Genomic DNA, 17,069 nt, shown 5'->3' on the forward strand with positions numbered 1-17,069 from the left:
GTGGGTGGATCACTTGAGGTCAGGAGTACAAGATCAGCCCGGCCAACATGGCAAAACCCCGTCTCTAGAAAAAAATATAAAAATTAGCCAGACATGGTGGCGCACACCTGTAATCCCAGCTACTCGAGAGGCTGAGGCATGAGAATCACTTGAACCCAGGAGGTGAAGGTTACAGTGAACCAAGTTTGCACCACTGCACTCCAGCCTGGGCAAGAGAGACTCTGTCTCAAAAAAAAAAAATGTCCATGAATATGAAATAGATATTTATAAAGGATTCTGAGGAGCTTAGAATATGCTAAACTGTCTTAATTATCTGTGGCAATAGCCTCAGGATATGTGTGTTTCCACCTTAAACATGCCACATTTTACCAACAAAAACCACTAACTCAAACAACTCTGTTTTTCTTTTTTCTTTTTTTTTTTTTTTTTTTTTTGAGACAGAGTCTCACTCTGTCACCAGGCTGGAGTGCAGAGGCGCGATCTCTGCTCACTGCAACCTCCACCTCCTGGGTTCAAGCGATTCTCCTGCCTCAGCCTCCCAAGTAGCTGGGACTACAGGCACACACCACCATGCCCAGCTAATTTTTGTATTTTTTTTTTAATAGAGACGGGGTTTCACCATGTTGGCCAGGTGAGAGGTCTCGATCTCTCAACCTCATGATCTGCCCACCTCGGCCTCCCAAAGTGCTGGAATTACAAGCATGAGCCACCGCACCCGGCCAGAACTCTTGTTTTTCTAAGACAAAGTTACATAAAAGTATGCAATGAGATATATATTAAAATTTATCTACTTTGCTCTAAATTACTCTAAAAAGAGTTATTAAAAGGTGCTAGGCCAAGCACAGTGGCTCACACTTGTAATCCCAATAATTTGGGAGGCTAAGGAGGGAATATCACTTGAAGCCAGGTGTTCGAGACCAGCCTGGGCAACATAATGAGACCCTGTCTTTTTATAAAAATTTTAAAAGTTAAAATTAAATAAAAATGTGTTTCATCATACTACCTTTGTTTATTAGAATCTATCACCCTTGGAATACTATACCTGCGGATGTTCCAAATGAGAACACGAGTGCCTTTTTTGCCTGGGATGGCATCAAACTGGGCCAGCAGGTCATTTTCACGGTTGAAAATGGAATAGTTCAAGATGGCTTCTAGGCTGGGCAATGAATCCTCGGTAATAATCATTTTTTGTAAAATCAAATATAGTCAAAGAAAAAATAATATCTTAGGATGCTATTGAGAAGGAAGATCTGCCCTTTGGATTGCATATTTAGACAAAACTATAGACATACAGCATGCATATTACTGCTATAGAAGGAGGAAAGGTGAAAAATGGAGAAAGGTTGTAGAGACAAGCTCCAAAATCAGTTGCCCATGCAGAATATAGCTTCAAAGATATCATGTAAACAAAGTCTTATATTTAAAAGATCAAAGGCTTAATTTTTTAACTTCTTTGGAAGCAATAAGTTAAAACCTTATTGCTATACTGTTCCAGTCAAGAGAACCAGGTGTCTAACAGAAGTAACAGCTGTGCAGATATAGGGAAATGAGCTATTCTGCTATTATATAAGCTGATAAATAGTATGTTTCTAGGCCTATTAATGCAAATGTAGCTATCCTTAGGGGAAAAAAAAAAAAAGGAAGGCCTTCGGAGCTTTACCATGGGGTGGTGGTAGAGCAGAGATACACTATATAGATCAAACTGCCTAACAATGAAAATTTCAATATAGCAAAAACATTTCTAAGCTTATGTCAATGTTCTACTTGTTTTTTAAATGTTTAATAGAGAAAAATCCCAGTTAAATTTAAGACATTTGAATACCTCTTTTAAAACTTCTGACAGTTGGATTTGACCTGAAGTTGGAATCTAATCAAACACTCAGATTAGACTAATTTTTAACCAACATTCTCCATTTCCAGAAAGGATATTGTTTTGCTGGTTGAATGGAACAATTGGTACAATAACTGCCTGGGCCTGGACACATTCCAGATAGGTCTGTGATAGAAGTCCAACAGTGAGAGTACCCCCATTCTTGGTGAAGACAAGGGCGTCCTTTCCTAGCCGCATGGAGCCTGACTTGAAACCATTACCAAAGACCCCAATGGGACACTGGCTCTTCTTTATTACTTTATCTGTAAAGCCAAAGCTGCAATTACACAAGAAAAAACAAATCAGAAAAAAAGAAATCAGAAAGGTAAAAAGCATCCTAAGATAGGTGACAGGCAGAATATTTGGCCTACAAATAAATAACACTTGTAAAAAGTCCTTCCTTTTTTATTCCTTTTGGTATTTATGGGCAAAACTATTAAGTTAAAAACATAGGAAATTACTATGGGGTAATGGGACTAATTTTCCTGTGTGGTTTGTGTATACATAAATAGTTCCATTACGTTAGAGTCACACTTTATAAATGTAAAAAAGGGCCCCTTTTCACCAGCTAACGTAGCTGGAGAAGGCCTTGGGCAGCTGCCTTTCTTGTCTAGATAAAACAGCTCTGATTGCTGTAGAAGTAAAGTTAGGGTAAGGTGAAAAATGTAGTTATCTAGAGAGGGTAGCAAAAGTTCCAGATATTGTCATTGGTCAGAGGTACTAGATTAGGCATCTCCTAACCTGTTTATATCATCCTCTAGAAATCTGAAAGTCAGGGATCATGTATCTTGACAATTTCAACTCTCCACTCAAAGGATAACCCTTCCAATTCTTAGTCTCTGTTCCATCTGCTGGGACAGTTCATTGGAATGTGGCCAAAGGATAAAAATAGGTAGTTCTGCCTCTGAATATCAGCAAACAGTTGCAGTATAAAGTCTCTCTTGCTCCATTAAGGACCTTTCACTTAGGCGCCTCAACAATCTCTGTAGCCCCTTTTGATCAGCTTAATCTGGAAGCCAGAACCTTTCCCTTCCTTGTATTTTCCATTCAGGTACACACCAAAATAACAGAACTTTAAAAATTAAAAATAAAATGATTATATATCTTCCCTCACCATCAATAAAACTAATTGTAAGGATTGTTTCTCAGGATGAGAAGGAGAAATGAATAGAGTTTGGCAAATGAGTACAAACTTATAGTTAGATAGAAGAAAAAAGTTCTAATGTTCCATAGCAGACCAGGGTGACTATAATTAGCAATAATACATCACATATTTCAAAGTAGCTAGAAAAGAGGAGTTCCAATGTTACCAACATATAAATTATCAAGGTGATGGAAACCCCAAACACCCTCACTTGATCATTACACATTGTATGCATGTATAAAGTACTCACATGTACCCCATAAATATGTAAAATATTAGGTATCAATAAAAGAAAAAATCATACTAAAAAGGATTGTTTCTCTCCAGATTGACTAATTTTACAATGTTGTGCACTATCATTCATTCAATAAATATTTAAACTAAGCACCTACAATGTGCCAAGCATTGGGCTAAGCACTAGAGACCATTTTTAATAAGAGACATGATTCTTGCCTTCAGAGTTTATAGTCTAAGGAAGGACTTCATATATTACAGATTAGGTGCTTCTCAACATCAATAAAATAGATACTCTGGTCAGACCATGACTGAGCAGGCTGATCTTTAACAATTTTACTCTTTTGAGCATGGAGAGCGGAGGTATCTGATTTCTACTTCCTGAAGATTGCGGTTTTGTGTTTACTCACTAAGAAAGGGAACCACCTTTTAATTTTCTGTTTCAAAGCATTATACAATAATACCATATGTCCTCCTAGAGTAGATACTTTATAGGAGCTGTGTGTATCCTACAAATAAATCTAGTGACAGAAAAAGGTAATTTCCATGGCAGCAGTCCTTTGGGAAAAAAAAAAAGAAAAAGAACTTCAGTTTGTGTTGCCTATGGGCCTTAGTATTCCAGGATACAGACTTATAATAGTAAGATTCAGGCATTCCCATTTTTCTTGTGGAAGAATTGGCTTTTAAAAAAAATGGGTTTGTTATGAGGATTAAATTATATACTGTATGCAAAATACATTAAGTATAAAGTAGTATTCAAACATTAATTTTAAACTAACTCTAGAAGTCATTCTGATAGTTGTCATGTGCTATCCCCTACTCCTACTTCAGACCTAAGGTCACATCTAAAGCTCAGGGCTCTTCATAAATAGTAATCTTACACATCACTTCAAATGAATTTGTATCGTTAACCGGACTTCAACTTTCTCTTATACCACAAAAGCTTCAATTAGGTGATCAAGGGAAAGTGGTGAAAATAGGGAGATTACAACTCCCTTAATTTTTTAGCCTCTTCCACCATCTATCACCTCTTTTCCCCTTTGAAAGTATAAACCCTCACTGTGTTAATTTGAGGAGACCAAATTATGATACAAGGTTGAGAAGATAAGTAGTAGTGCCAGGCCAGAACCAGAATGGAAAAGGATAAGAATAACGAGAAGAGAGGAGCTATAAACTCTGGATTTTTGTTGTTGTTACTGTGTTTCACTTAACTCTTCCCGTGTGCTCTTTTATTCCACCTAAGTTCTCATGTTCGGCATTCTATTTAAATGCAAACTGGCAGAATCAATGTCAGGTACCAATCAAATAACTACCTAACACAAAAGCCCTCACCACACATAATAATAGAATTGTAATAATGAATTTGATAGTTTGCTATAGCTCAGTAATAATTTTCCACAGAGATAACTTGGTTTAGGTGGTTTCTATTTGCTAAGTCAGTCCTGCTCTATCCTCTCGTGTGAGAGACAACACTGTTTACACATCAAGGTGGCTTGGATACCAGCACTTTTAGTGGAATCCAAAAATACAGCAGCTTGCTCTGGAGTATCTTAAAATGTCAAGAATCCAGAATCCAGAGAGGTAAATTTAAATTGGGACTCTGCCATGACACGTGTTTACCTATGTAACAAACCTTCACGTGTACCTCCAAACCAAAAATAAAAGTTAAGAAAAATAATAAATAAGTAAAGACTCTGACCAATGAAACAAACCTTGGCAAAATCCATGGGTGCACAAAGGCAGGCACTGCTATTTCCTAGGTATACTTGTGATTTAATATGTAATATAAAAGAATGAAAGAGTGCTAAGCAGACTGTTATTCTCCAGCTATTGTTTTAGAAGAATACACCTGCTAGGAAGTGCACTTCTGAGCACAGGTAGCAAATACCTTCTGTGGTTCTGTGGCTGTTTTTAGTCTTTGAACTTTGAAAGAGGTTTTCCACCTTGCTGAAAAAGGCAGCTGAATATACAGACTAACTGATCCACACACTAGCCCCAGAAGCTAAAGATAATTAGTTGTGGACCTTAAAGGAATTTAATAATAGGTTTTTCCTTTTTAATTTGATTTTCATGAAAGTCTATGTTTATGGAAGAAACTGTTGCTACAGTTACACAACTATTTTATCAGCCTGAAAATAGAGTTGCATAAAGAGTTGGAAAGTGTGGACAGTGTAACAACAAATGTTAGAGGTCAAATAGAACTTCTGTAGGCTTAATAAATTTGTATAATTACTTCTATTATTTTTTCCAAATACAAAAGTAATATGCCTTCAAGTAGAAAACAGCACCAGGCACGGTGGCTCATGCCTGTAATCCCAGCACTTTGGGAGGCCGAGGCAGGCGGATCACTTCAGTTAGGGAGTTCAAGACCAGCTGACCAACATGGTGAAACCCCGTCTCTACTAAAAATACAAAATTAGCCAGGCATGGTGGCGCATGCCTGTAATCCCAGCTACTCGGGAGGCTGAGGTAGGAGAATCACTTGAATCCGGGAGGCGGAGGTTGCAGTGAGCCAAGATCACACCATTGCACTCCAGCCTGGGCAACAAGAGTGAAACTCCATCCAAAAAAAAAAAAAAAACCCAGAAAACATAGAATCCTTCGGGCCAGGCGTGGTGGCTCATGCCTGTAATCCCAGCATTTTGGGAGCCCGAGGCAGGTGAATCACAAGGTCAAGGGATGGAGACCATCCTGGCTGCCAACATGGTAAAACCCCGTCTCTACTAAAACTACAAAAATTAGCTGGGTATGGTGGCGCACACCTGTAGTCCCAGCTACTCGGGAGGCTGAGGCAGGAAAATTGCTTGAACCCAGGAGGCGGAGGTTGCAGTGAGCCGAGATCGCGCCACTGCACTCCAGCCTGGCGACAGAGCAAAACTCCATCTAATAAAAAAAAAAATAGAATCCTTTGCTGGAAGTTAGGATTGGACTAAAAAATCTCTTTTATTTTTATTTATTTATTTATTTATTTTTGAGACAAGGTCTCCCTCTGTTGCCCAAGCTGGATTACAATGGCACAATCTCAGCTCACTGCAACCTCCGCTTCCTGGGTTCAAGCAATCCTCCCACTTCAGCCTCCCGAGTAGCAGGGACTACAGGTGCATGCCAAAATGTTCAGCTAATTTTTGTATTTTTTTGTAAGGATGGGGTCCCCCTGTGTTGCCCAGGCAGGCATCAAACTCCTGGACTCAGGCAATCTGCCTGCCTTGGCCTTTGGAAGTGCTAGAATTATAGGCATGAGCCACCATGCTTGGCCTTAAATGATCTCTTTTAAATAAATGGTATCTTCACCGGGCACGGTGGCTCATGCCTGTAATCTCAGCACTTTGGGAGGCCAAGGCGGGCTGATCACTTCGGGTCAGGAGTTCAAGACCAGCCTGGCCAACATGGTGAAACCCCGTCTCTACTAAAAATACAAAAATTAGCTGGGCGTGATTGTACCTGCCTGTAATCCCAGCTACTTGGGAGGCTGAGGCAGGAGAGTTGCGTGAACCCAGGAGGGGCAGGTTGCAATGAGCTGAGATCATGCCATTGCACTCCAGCCTGAGGGACAAGAGTGAAACTCCATCTCAAAAAAATTTTTTTTTAATTAAAAAAAAAGGTATCTTCTAGCTGATTCAAGTTTGTTTCAAGATACAATCACAAATAAAATTCAGTACATATATTACATTAAGGACTCATTAAAATAATTTTCTAAAATTATTTTTTAAATAGGAGGAACAATTGCCCAGCTCAAATCAGTGGTAAACATATTTGGTATGATAGGGAAAATTCTATAGCTAAGAAAGTTTCTACCTATTTTGCTCCTTGGGGAGGGAATAAAAAATTTGAATGGGTGATACTCATCCTTCATATTTCAATTTGAATGTCATTTCTTCAGGGGAGCCTTTTTTAATTCCCTAGACTAGATTAGATCCCTGTTATACGTTCTCAAAGAAACTGTGCTCTACCTTCATAGCACTTACCACTGGGTGGAATAGCCTATTTAGTTATATTACTAGTCAATTTTGTTCTTTCTCATTAAGCTGTCAGCCAAGAATCATGTCTATCTGGTTCACCACTTTATCTCCAGTGCCTTGCACACAGGTGCTCAATAAAAATTTGTTGAATGAATAAATGAATGAATCTGGAACAAAAATTGTGGCAATTATTTTGAAACCATTCTTCTCCTCCCTTCTACCTTATAACTCTAACCAAGTTTCACAGATGTAGTCCCACAGACAAAACGGAAGATCAGATGTGCTGGGCCCACTACTCAACACCCACGTCAATGGGATAAGGTATGATGGGAAGGAGTCATTAAGAAGATAAGCAATTTTGGATGGGTGCGGTGGTTCACACCTGTGATCCCAGCACTTTGGGAGGCTGAGGTGGGCAGATCACTTGAGGTCAGGAGTTCGAGACCAGCCTGGACAACATGGCAAAACCCTGTCTCTACTAAAAATACAAAAAAATTAGCCGGGCATGGTGGCACACCCCTATAATCCCAGCTACTCGGGAGGCTGAGGTACGAGAATCATTTGAAACCAGGAGGCTGAGGTTGCAGTGAGCTGAGATCATGCCACTGCACTCCAGCCTGGGTGATGGAGTGAGACTCTGTCTCAAAAAATAAGAAGACAAGTAATTTTACGGGGAAAACAACCAACTAGTACATACAGAATTGAACATATAAATGCTTTGGTTCCATCCCATCTAAAATTGTATTTTTCTTAATATATAATATTAACTTCAGGATATAAAACTGATGTTATAAGTTAAAGGATTGGGCCAACTTTCTACCTTCACTAACATACTGGTCACAATTCTTGTTTCACTTTTAGAGGTTTTCCTCAAATAGTCTTCTAATTAGGAGGGTCTGAGACACAAGGTATACAGACTGCTGAGTGGTAAAACGCAACCATTTACTTTGCCCAAATTTCATTTTTGTTTCTTTGATGAATCAAAGGGATTTCCCTACAAACAGAGTAATTGATTTAGAATACCTACAAGGGTAACTACAACCACATGAATTTGTTTTCCATTTTTATAGTTTGGAGCCCTTTCCCTCCTCCACAGCATTCCACCATTGTTACTCGTGCTTCACACACTCTAGTTCAGGAAGCCACAGGGAGAGTAATCAACCTCATCTGCTAAAAGGAAGAGAGAAGGAAGGAGTTGAAGGAATACTCATATTCCACTGAGTGATATGCGGAGATGATATAGTATAAATTTACGTTCTCAACTACAAATGTTTTAAAGTGATTAAATGAACTGACAGTGGCAATAGAAATCTAGCACAAGCTTTAACAGTTAGAAAGGAGAATTTCCTAAGTTTGTGATTCTACTGCAAAACCTTTAAAGAATATATGTCTGAATGCCTTCTATTTACCTTGCATGGGGTTTGATTATACCCAGGTACCTTCGTGGTTCTAATCAATAAATCACCCCAACTCCAATACTTCTGATTTAAGAGTGAGTTTAGGTTAATATAAATTGGAGGTCTCGGACCAGTGAAGGCCTCTGGGTCTTTATATTTGCTGTTCTCTTTGTGTGAATTGTCATCCCTTGCTCCCTGCCCCTTTATTTAGCTGGTTAAACTGTACTCACCCTTAGATCTCAGCTTAAATATCATTTTGTCTAGGATACTTTTCCTAACCTCTGGGATCAGATTGGGCTCCCCTGATGACTTGTCTCAAACATTCTGTACCTTCTTATTATGCTTATAGCTTTTTATTACTTATTTAATTTGTCTGAGTTGCCAGCTAGGCTGAAAGCTCTGTGAGGGAAGGAACAGTATTTGTTTCATAACCAGTGCCCTGGCACATAAGAGATGCTTAATAAATATTTGTTGAATGAACAAAAGGAAAGCAAAATATTAATGAAAATTATGAAGCCTTAAATAGGGTTCATGAGCTTAAGACAAGAAAAAGACAATGAAGACATTTTTACCTGAGCATTCGGTGTAGTTTATGAGGTGTCATCCCACATCCATCATCGGTAAAGGTCAAACAAGATTTATTCTTGACCTCCTCAACATCTATAAAGACCGTCCTGGCAGATACATCTGGATCTACAGCATTATCTGCAAAAGGTAGAAATCTGCGATATTAGATCCCCTTTTCCAATATTGTATCAAAATCTCTAGTTCAGTGACGCCAAGACATAAGAAATGTCCTTTATTTCCTTCATTTGGATGTTTGAGAAGGTATCAGGGAGCATTAACGGTAGTGCACTTACTAAATTATAGAGAACAAAAGAGATGATGCCAGATTGAGTTCTAAAGCTGATTTCCAGATTTCATACGAGCGATATGCAATCTGCCTTTCCACCTTCGAACTTCAGGGTCTTTGGAAAAAAGTATTAATAACTACTCCCATATACAAAGCATTTTGCTCCATTTTTGTCTTATTACTTCTTGCCTTTTAGCCCCTTTACTGTTTGTATACACATACAGTAAAGAGTGGCTATGGAGAAAAGCTGAAGGAGCAACTTTGGTAAAAGATGATGCATATTACACACATTACAGTTTATTTGTGATCATTTTATTTTCTTCTTTCTTACATCACCTCCTCTGTTAAAGAACACAGAGAGTACTGCCATTCCTGTTTATAGCCTAAGAGGCACTGAAAGGGTTAGAGTTTAAAATCAAAAGACTTAATGGTCTGCCTAGATCTCAGTGATGGTAGCAAGCATACTTAGAGGGAGTGATTTTTGCTTAGGTATTTTGTAATAGTTTTAAAGGTAAGGCTGTCCATCCTTTCAGGAAATGGAGAACATAGAATTAAAGTAGAAAAAATACATAGGTTCACGATTCCTCCTGATTTATGTCTTCACAATGAGTTAATTATTTAAGACTCCAAAGACATCAAATATTGCCATAGTCTAACAATTGTGTCACGTCCACAACCCCAGGGGGGTGCCACTGTCTAGTTGCCGCATGTTTTTGCCACAGGCACCAGTTTACATAATTGTCAATCACTGACAAATGTGGCTCACTGGCCACAATTGAGGGGCAGTTTATACAATCTGTTGGATAGGTTCCTTAATCGTTCCTGTCTCTACTAAGCTCTTTGAGCAAGACAGAGTCCTTCCCTTCCACCCTCTTCCCTTTCCCTGGTATCCTATACTGCTTTAGTGATACCAAAAAGCTAAGCTAAGACAGCCAGGTCAGGTCCTGGCCATATACTTGTTCTATTACTACTGATCAAATTATATCATTTTTTCCCAGGAACACCCCTTACAATCCAGAGAAGTATTACAAATATGCAAAACACCCATTTTTTATAACACAATTAATGATATCAGTTACAGCCACTTGGATATGTGGAATGTTCATCAAATAAAACAAAACACAGATTAATTTCAAGGGTCACAATGGTATTGCCAGAGTCATTGATAAAACTGTCACTGACTGTAAGCAGAAAACGTCTTAACAGTAGTACAGCATCACCAATAGTCCCAGAAGGGGATTAAGAGGCCTGGTATAGTCAATCTTTTTTTTTTCTTTTTTTTCATTTAGAAGGCCCTAAGGGAAAGTTTATTTCATATGAGTGGCAGCCACTTTTTTGTGTTTTTATTTTTTTAATTCACATAATAGTTGTACATATTTATAGAATACAATGTGATGTTTTGATACACTTATACAATGTGTAATGATCAAATCAGGATAATTAGCATATTCATTACCTCAAACATTTATCATTTCTTTTGTTGGGAACATTCAAAATCTATTCTTCTAGCTATTTGAAAATATACAGTTAATTGTTATTAATTATAGCCATCCTACAGTGCTATAAAACATTAGAACTTATTTCTTTTATCTTAGTTGTAATTTTGTAGCCATTAACCCACCTCTAGCTATCCCCCCTCCCACCCTTCCCAGCCTTTAGTAACTACTATTCCACTCTCTACTTCTAAGCTTATTGCAGTAACCTCCTAACTACTCTTATAAATCCTTATCTCTCTCTTTCAATGTTATACACTGCTGCAAGATTAACTTTCCTGAAGCACAGCTCTGTTCATGACATTCCTCTGCTCAGAAAACTTCAGGCTAAAAAGCCAAACACTGGAGCCTCCCGGTCACACCCTGATCCCAGACGACCTTTTTAACCTCATTCCCTACTTGGTATTTCCAGTAAAAAGACCTGTGTTTGCATCCTGGATCTGCTACTTAGTACTTGTTTAGTTTCCACATAGAAGTTAGAACATTCCACATAGTTTGCCTTCTGTGCCTGGCTTATTTCATTTAACATAATGTCCTTCAAGTTTATCCATGTTGCTGCAAATGACAGTATTTCCTTCTCTTTATGGCTGAATAGTATTCCATTGTGTCTATATACCACATTTTCTTTATCCATTCTTCTGTTGATGGATGATATAGTCAATCTTTAAGGACCAGGTTGGGGGCCTAGGGCCTATATAATGTGGCAAGACAAGTGGGCTAAGTTTTGGCAGGAGTTACAAGTCTGTCCTACAATGGCAGCTTTATCAGAAATGCAGTTCTTTACTTTGTAAGAGGCAGCAGTATTTTTCTTTAACTGACTAAAGGATTCAGCATTACACAGCTGCCTACACTGTTTCAAGAACCTTTACTCGCCAAGCAGGCCATGAATTGTGTTGGGACTGATCAGACACTCCTGCTGGCAGACAACCAAAGGCACTGTGACTGATGATACAACTTGTCAATCAACTGGACATCATTTATACACTGAAAACTTTGGACATAGAGGTATTCTTTTCTAACAATTTGTGAACATTCACGATTCAAACATGTAACACCTATCAATTGCAACTACATGTTTACCCAACGGTGCATTCAACGAATCAGCTCAAAGGCCTCTCACAAAATCATCTCAATTCTTTTCCTCTTTACTGCAAGTTTTGCCCAAACTTTACTAGGTACTTTTTTTTTTTTTTTTTTTTTTACAGGAACACACCAAATAGTTTTAACACAGGCACTTCAGGAGTTACAATGTAGCTGCCAGGAGCAGCTCAACATTTTATCTCCTTGGCTGGAAGCTCATGGAATACAAGGGGGAGGGGGCATGCAAGAGGCCAGGGTCAGCTGGAGCAGTAGGGAAAGAGAGATCAGTAGAGAGGCACCAGCAAGCACGGTTTTGTACTTACTTTCAGTTTTACATGGCCCTTCATTCGGTCTCAGCAAATGAAATTACAATAATAATAAGGCTGGCCTCAATAAATGAACTTATGATAACAAGGCACCGATCTGGAGGCTGGTTTCAATCCTACCTCTGGCTGCTTAACCCTCCAAAAATTTACCAATACATGGCAAGTGCTATTGGATCCCAGAAAATCTATCTTCTCCCCTAACCCGGCCCATCCAGCCAATGAACAGGTAGCACAATGAAAGAACCCTTACTCCTCTCTCCCTGCCCACCACTTAGGTGAGAAGTGTGCTATCAGATGCTGGAGTGTCTTCATTCCCTAACCTGGCCACACAAGCCCATGTGCTACCAGATCACAAGGAGTTTTCTCTCTCCTAACTTGGCTCGTGCTATCCCTTCGTGGGAGGACCCCATCTCTACCTTCCCCCTGCTCTCGTTATCTCATCAGAATCTAGGAGGCAATGAGAAACTATTCCATGACAGCCTCCCAGGAGAGATAAGATGGCAAATGGGAGATGGCTTTGAGGTAGTGCTTCACAAGCCTCTCATCCTTTTCTGTTTCATAGCATCATAAGGCTCCCATCCTCCCCTGTTCCAGAAGGATGGCCTATAGGTGGCTACATGAAAGATTGCCAAGGGTGGAGCTACTGTCCTACATAAATCCTAGAGGTATCTAAAAGTATTCCTGCCTAAAGGTAAGGTCATCACCTTTTGTCACAAGCCTATTCTTCCTTTGTTACAAACACACACAAGGTTAGCATTGAATAGACCACAAATTTGAAATTTAAGTAATTTTCTTATCCCTCCCTCTCCTTTACCCTATGCATCCCTAGACGTTCTCATATCCTATTTACTCTATTTCCATTGTCAGTCTCTTACAGAGTTTATTTCCTCTCATCTGGATTATTGCAATAACCTCCTGTCATATAAATCCGTATCTCTCTCCTTCAATTGTATACACTGCTGCAAGACTGACTTTCCTGAAGCACAGCTCTGATCATGACATTCCCCTGCTCAGAAAACTTCAGGCTAAAAAGCCAGATATTGGAGCCTCCCAATCACATCCTGATCCCAGATGACCTTTTTAACCTCATCCTTACTTAGTATCTGGCGTAAAAAGGCCTGTGTTTGAGTCCTGGATCTGCTACTTAGTATATATGTAACCTTGGAAAAGTCAACTAAATTTTCTGAACCTCTTTTTCTTCATCTGCAGGATGAAAATAAATGTTTACCTCAAATGGTAATGTTAAAAAGTTATTTGTGAAAGCTGCTTGTAAACTTTTTAAGTACCTATCGTTTTTACTATTTGTGAACCCCATGCTCTAATTAAACTCCACTCAATATTCTTCATGCCTTTGTTCAAGCAGTTGTTCCTTTTGCCTGGAATTCCTCCCCGCCCATATCCACATGTCCCAATCCTTCAAATCTCAGCTTAAATGTCACCTCCTCCACAAAGCCTTTCCTAACCTTCCTCTTCCTGATAAACTGGAAGCCATTCCTCCTTCCTCTGAACTCCCACAGCACTTGTTTTTATCTTTGTTTATATATCGATTTCCATTTTGTTGTTAGACAAAGCATAAACCTTCTGTACATGTTTTATCTCCCCTACTAGAAGAGTGAATCTGTGTTGTATTCATTTTTGTGCCTACCACAGTGGCCTTGCGCACAGTGGGTGCTCAATAAATATTTACCAAATGAATGATTCACTAGAAAATTAATGCTTAAGTGGAGAAAATGATTGAAGGAAAACCTAAAATGAAAGCTTTGGATTGCCAGTTAACACTTTGCTCTCTCTTTTCCCTATTATTAATATTTTCACAAATAGTTGTTATTTGGTCTTAAAATCTATGTTTGTATACATGTATGCATGCATGTGTGTGCATAATACATACACATACTCGCGCTCATACTGGACGTCTTAGATCCGGCTTAGGTTCTTTAAGGTAATGCTTATGGCCAAAATCACAAATATCCAAAATTACAAATTGGAAACTCATTAAATCACCTGGAAAGTACAGTAAGCACAGCACAGGTATATCACGTTCTGCACCGTGCCAACCATGAGAGAACAATACATTTCGCTTTCCCATCCCCCACTATGTAAATCACTACTTTTTGCTCCCTTGTAGTCTTTCTTGTAAATTACATACTTAACTTGGATTGTATTCCATTCTGCAGAGGTTCAGTGCACAGCCCCAAGGCACAGTACCAAACCTCAAAGATACAGTCCCTCTGCTCTAGGGTTCCAAACGTATCAATTCCACTTTTTGCCTTTCACCTTCTAATTAAATTACACATATTGTAAAGCATTCCGTGTTATGGTTAATCATCAAAGGTCTCTATCATTCTTATCACCCTTCCAAGTAAGTCCCCTGCTACCCATTGACTTCTTACCCAAGATAACTCTCATGGCATGGCCACAGCGACTGCTTAAGTAGAGACCGGGGTTCATTTGGGGAGCTTTGAAAACATTTTCAAGAGTTTGTTCTGTGCAACCTTGCCCATAAACACTTCTTCCTTCTTTCGATTTTCAAAGCATGTATAATGCGCCCTGTATGCTGCTGCGTTTTGTGCAGGACTGCGTTTCTTCTTTGCTTTCCACACAGTAGCACACTACTGCAAAAACTGGTGTAATTGGCTTGAAGGGATCAACTGAAAACACTTTAAAAGCAAACACCGGTGGAGCGAGAGGTTAAGTCCTCAATATTCATTCCAGCGGTGTGAGGGCGCTCGTGGACCACGGACCCAGCCCTCCGCAGTAGCAGGGAGCCAAATGCACTCGTGTCATCTCTTAAGAGATGTCCCATCATTCCTAACTTTTCTTGTCTCAAAAGTTAAGGAACTCCGCTTTCCAGACCTTTCCCCAGGACCCGCCTCGGTCCTCTACGCCCCTTTGCTAGCTAGGCATCCTCCGTCGGTCGCCAGCCCCTGCGGACCCAGCTGCCTCAGGGCCCGAGGTTTTTATGCATCTCCTTTTGATTACTAACTAAGCTATCCTAAAGTGCCCGAACGTCACGAGCGCGAGAGAAAAACCACACTGGTGTCTTTAACGCTTCAGACACACCTCGTTTCCTCCGTTTTATGAGCGGAACCTAGTTCCTGGCGAGAGAGCCATCCCCCTCCTCCGCCTGCGGAGCCGGGGCCGGTTCCGAGGCCCCCACCCCAGCCCCGGCCCGCCCCGCGCGGCTCTGCGCATTCCTCTCGCGTCCGCGGCACCACGCTGGCACCACTGCCTCGGGCGAACACGGCCGGGCCCGCCCTCGCCACTCACCTAGCAGCTCCGCGATGGCACTGAAGGGTCGCGTGTGGCTGCTGGAGTTGCTCTGGAGGTAGCGGGGGCTCATCTGGGGGCGAGAGAAGGTCCCGACCCGCGTGAGGCCTCGGCCCGCCGGGCCCTCCCCGCGCGCCCCCCGCAGCCCAGGGGCCCGCGCGCGCGTCCGCCCCCTCGGGCCCCGGACCTACCGTGCTCAGGCGGATCCCGAAGGCCTGCGGGCCGCCGCCGGGCCGGGCCAGCCCGCAGCCCGGCGCGCCAGGGCCGGCGGGGGCCCCTCGGTACAGGAGCATTTTTTTGGCCGCCACGGTACCCGTCTGCTGCCGCCGGACCCCTGGCCCGGCGGTCCGGGACTAGCCCTCGCTCACTTCCACTCGCAGCTGGCGGCGACCGTCCGGGACCGGCCCTCCCTCGCTCCCACTCGCAGCTGGCGGAGGCGGAGCGCGCTCCAGCCACCTGTCCCGGGCGGGAGGGGTGAGGCCGGCTGAGGCAAGCGGCGGCTCCGCCCTGTCAGCACCTCTACCGACCCGGCGACTGCCCGGGCTGCCTCTGGGCCGTACAGAAATATGGCGACCTCCTGACAGCCGCTCCTTGATCCCCGCCCCTAATTAATTATTGGCGTATGCCATAGGCCAGGCCGCCGAGCGGGAAAGCGCGGGGGGCGGGGGTGGCGCGTGGGGAGGGGCGTGAATGAAGCAAGAGGAGGGAGAGCATGTATGGGATTTCTGGAACCTAGTCCCGCTTAGGCTGCATGACTAACAGGCAAGATAAGACAAGTCTTTCAAGTTCTAAAGACTACAGTGTTGCTATCTGGGAAGATAGCAAGCTCGCCTGATGGGAAAACATTCTACCTACTCTGCCTCAAATGCCTCCAGAAGCACCCAGAACTTTCTGGAAGGCAATTAGCAAACTATCTCCAAAGTCTTGCTAGCATGCAGGGACGGTGTTTCTAAAAGGAGAAATTGGATTCACTTAAATACCGCCAAGTAGGGGATTGGTCGAGTTATGAAGTATGCATAAAATGAAATACCATCCAGTTCTTGAAGGCCATGTTTGTAGATAAGTATGTGTTGATGTAGAAAAATATTCATGAAGGAATGAAGAAAACAAGGAGTTACAACATATTGTGGAACGCATGATGCCTTTTCTATTGGAAAAACAAATATATATGTATACATATATACATATATATATATGCATGCATACACACATATACACATACATACATACATATATATATACACACACACACACACAACGAAAACCACTTGATATACACCAAGATGATATCTCTGGGTCTGGAACTAGACACTTTTTCCTTTTTTCTTACCTGTGTTTTCTAATATACTATAAATATACACTGATAATAGAAAAACAGATTCATTAAAAACATATGTAATGTTCTATGGCATGAATGAACTATAATTTATTTGACCATTCCTTTAT

The 17,069-nt window shown here is 41.1% G+C and overlaps 1 protein-coding gene across 2 annotated transcripts in view, besides 2 other annotated features; it reads right to left on the bottom strand.

The window, feature by feature from the left end:
• The window catches only part of MORC4 (MORC family CW-type zinc finger 4), a 59,475-nt gene extending 43,316 nt beyond the window's left edge, over positions 1-16,159 (bottom strand). For both annotated transcript variants that reach the window (NM_001085354.3, NM_024657.5), the window contains exons 1-5: positions 15,815-16,159; positions 15,624-15,696; positions 9,177-9,309; positions 1,930-2,147; positions 1,043-1,190 (exon numbers count right to left, since the gene is read on the bottom strand). In NM_001085354.3, the coding sequence (NP_001078823.1) occupies positions 1,043-1,190; positions 1,930-2,147; positions 9,177-9,309; positions 15,624-15,696; positions 15,815-15,916 (674 nt within the window). In that variant the 5' untranslated portion in view covers positions 15,917-16,159. The remainder of the gene's footprint in view (positions 1-1,042; positions 1,191-1,929; positions 2,148-9,176; positions 9,310-15,623; positions 15,697-15,814) is intronic.
• Positions 15,924-16,133: a silencer, noted in NCBI's record as "silent region_20925". NCBI's record gives its function as "represses an Ori minimal core promoter by ATAC-STARR-seq in GM12878 lymphoblastoid cells {active_cell/tissue: GM12878}" and the evidence as "EXISTENCE:reporter gene assay evidence [ECO:0000049][PMID:35858748]".
• Positions 16,144-16,223: a silencer, noted in NCBI's record as "silent region_20926". NCBI's record gives its function as "represses an Ori minimal core promoter by ATAC-STARR-seq in GM12878 lymphoblastoid cells {active_cell/tissue: GM12878}" and the evidence as "EXISTENCE:reporter gene assay evidence [ECO:0000049][PMID:35858748]".

This window comes from Homo sapiens, chromosome X (assembly GCF_000001405.40).
Source record: "Homo sapiens chromosome X, GRCh38.p14 Primary Assembly".
Classification (NCBI taxonomy): domain Eukaryota; kingdom Metazoa; phylum Chordata; class Mammalia; order Primates; family Hominidae; genus Homo; species Homo sapiens.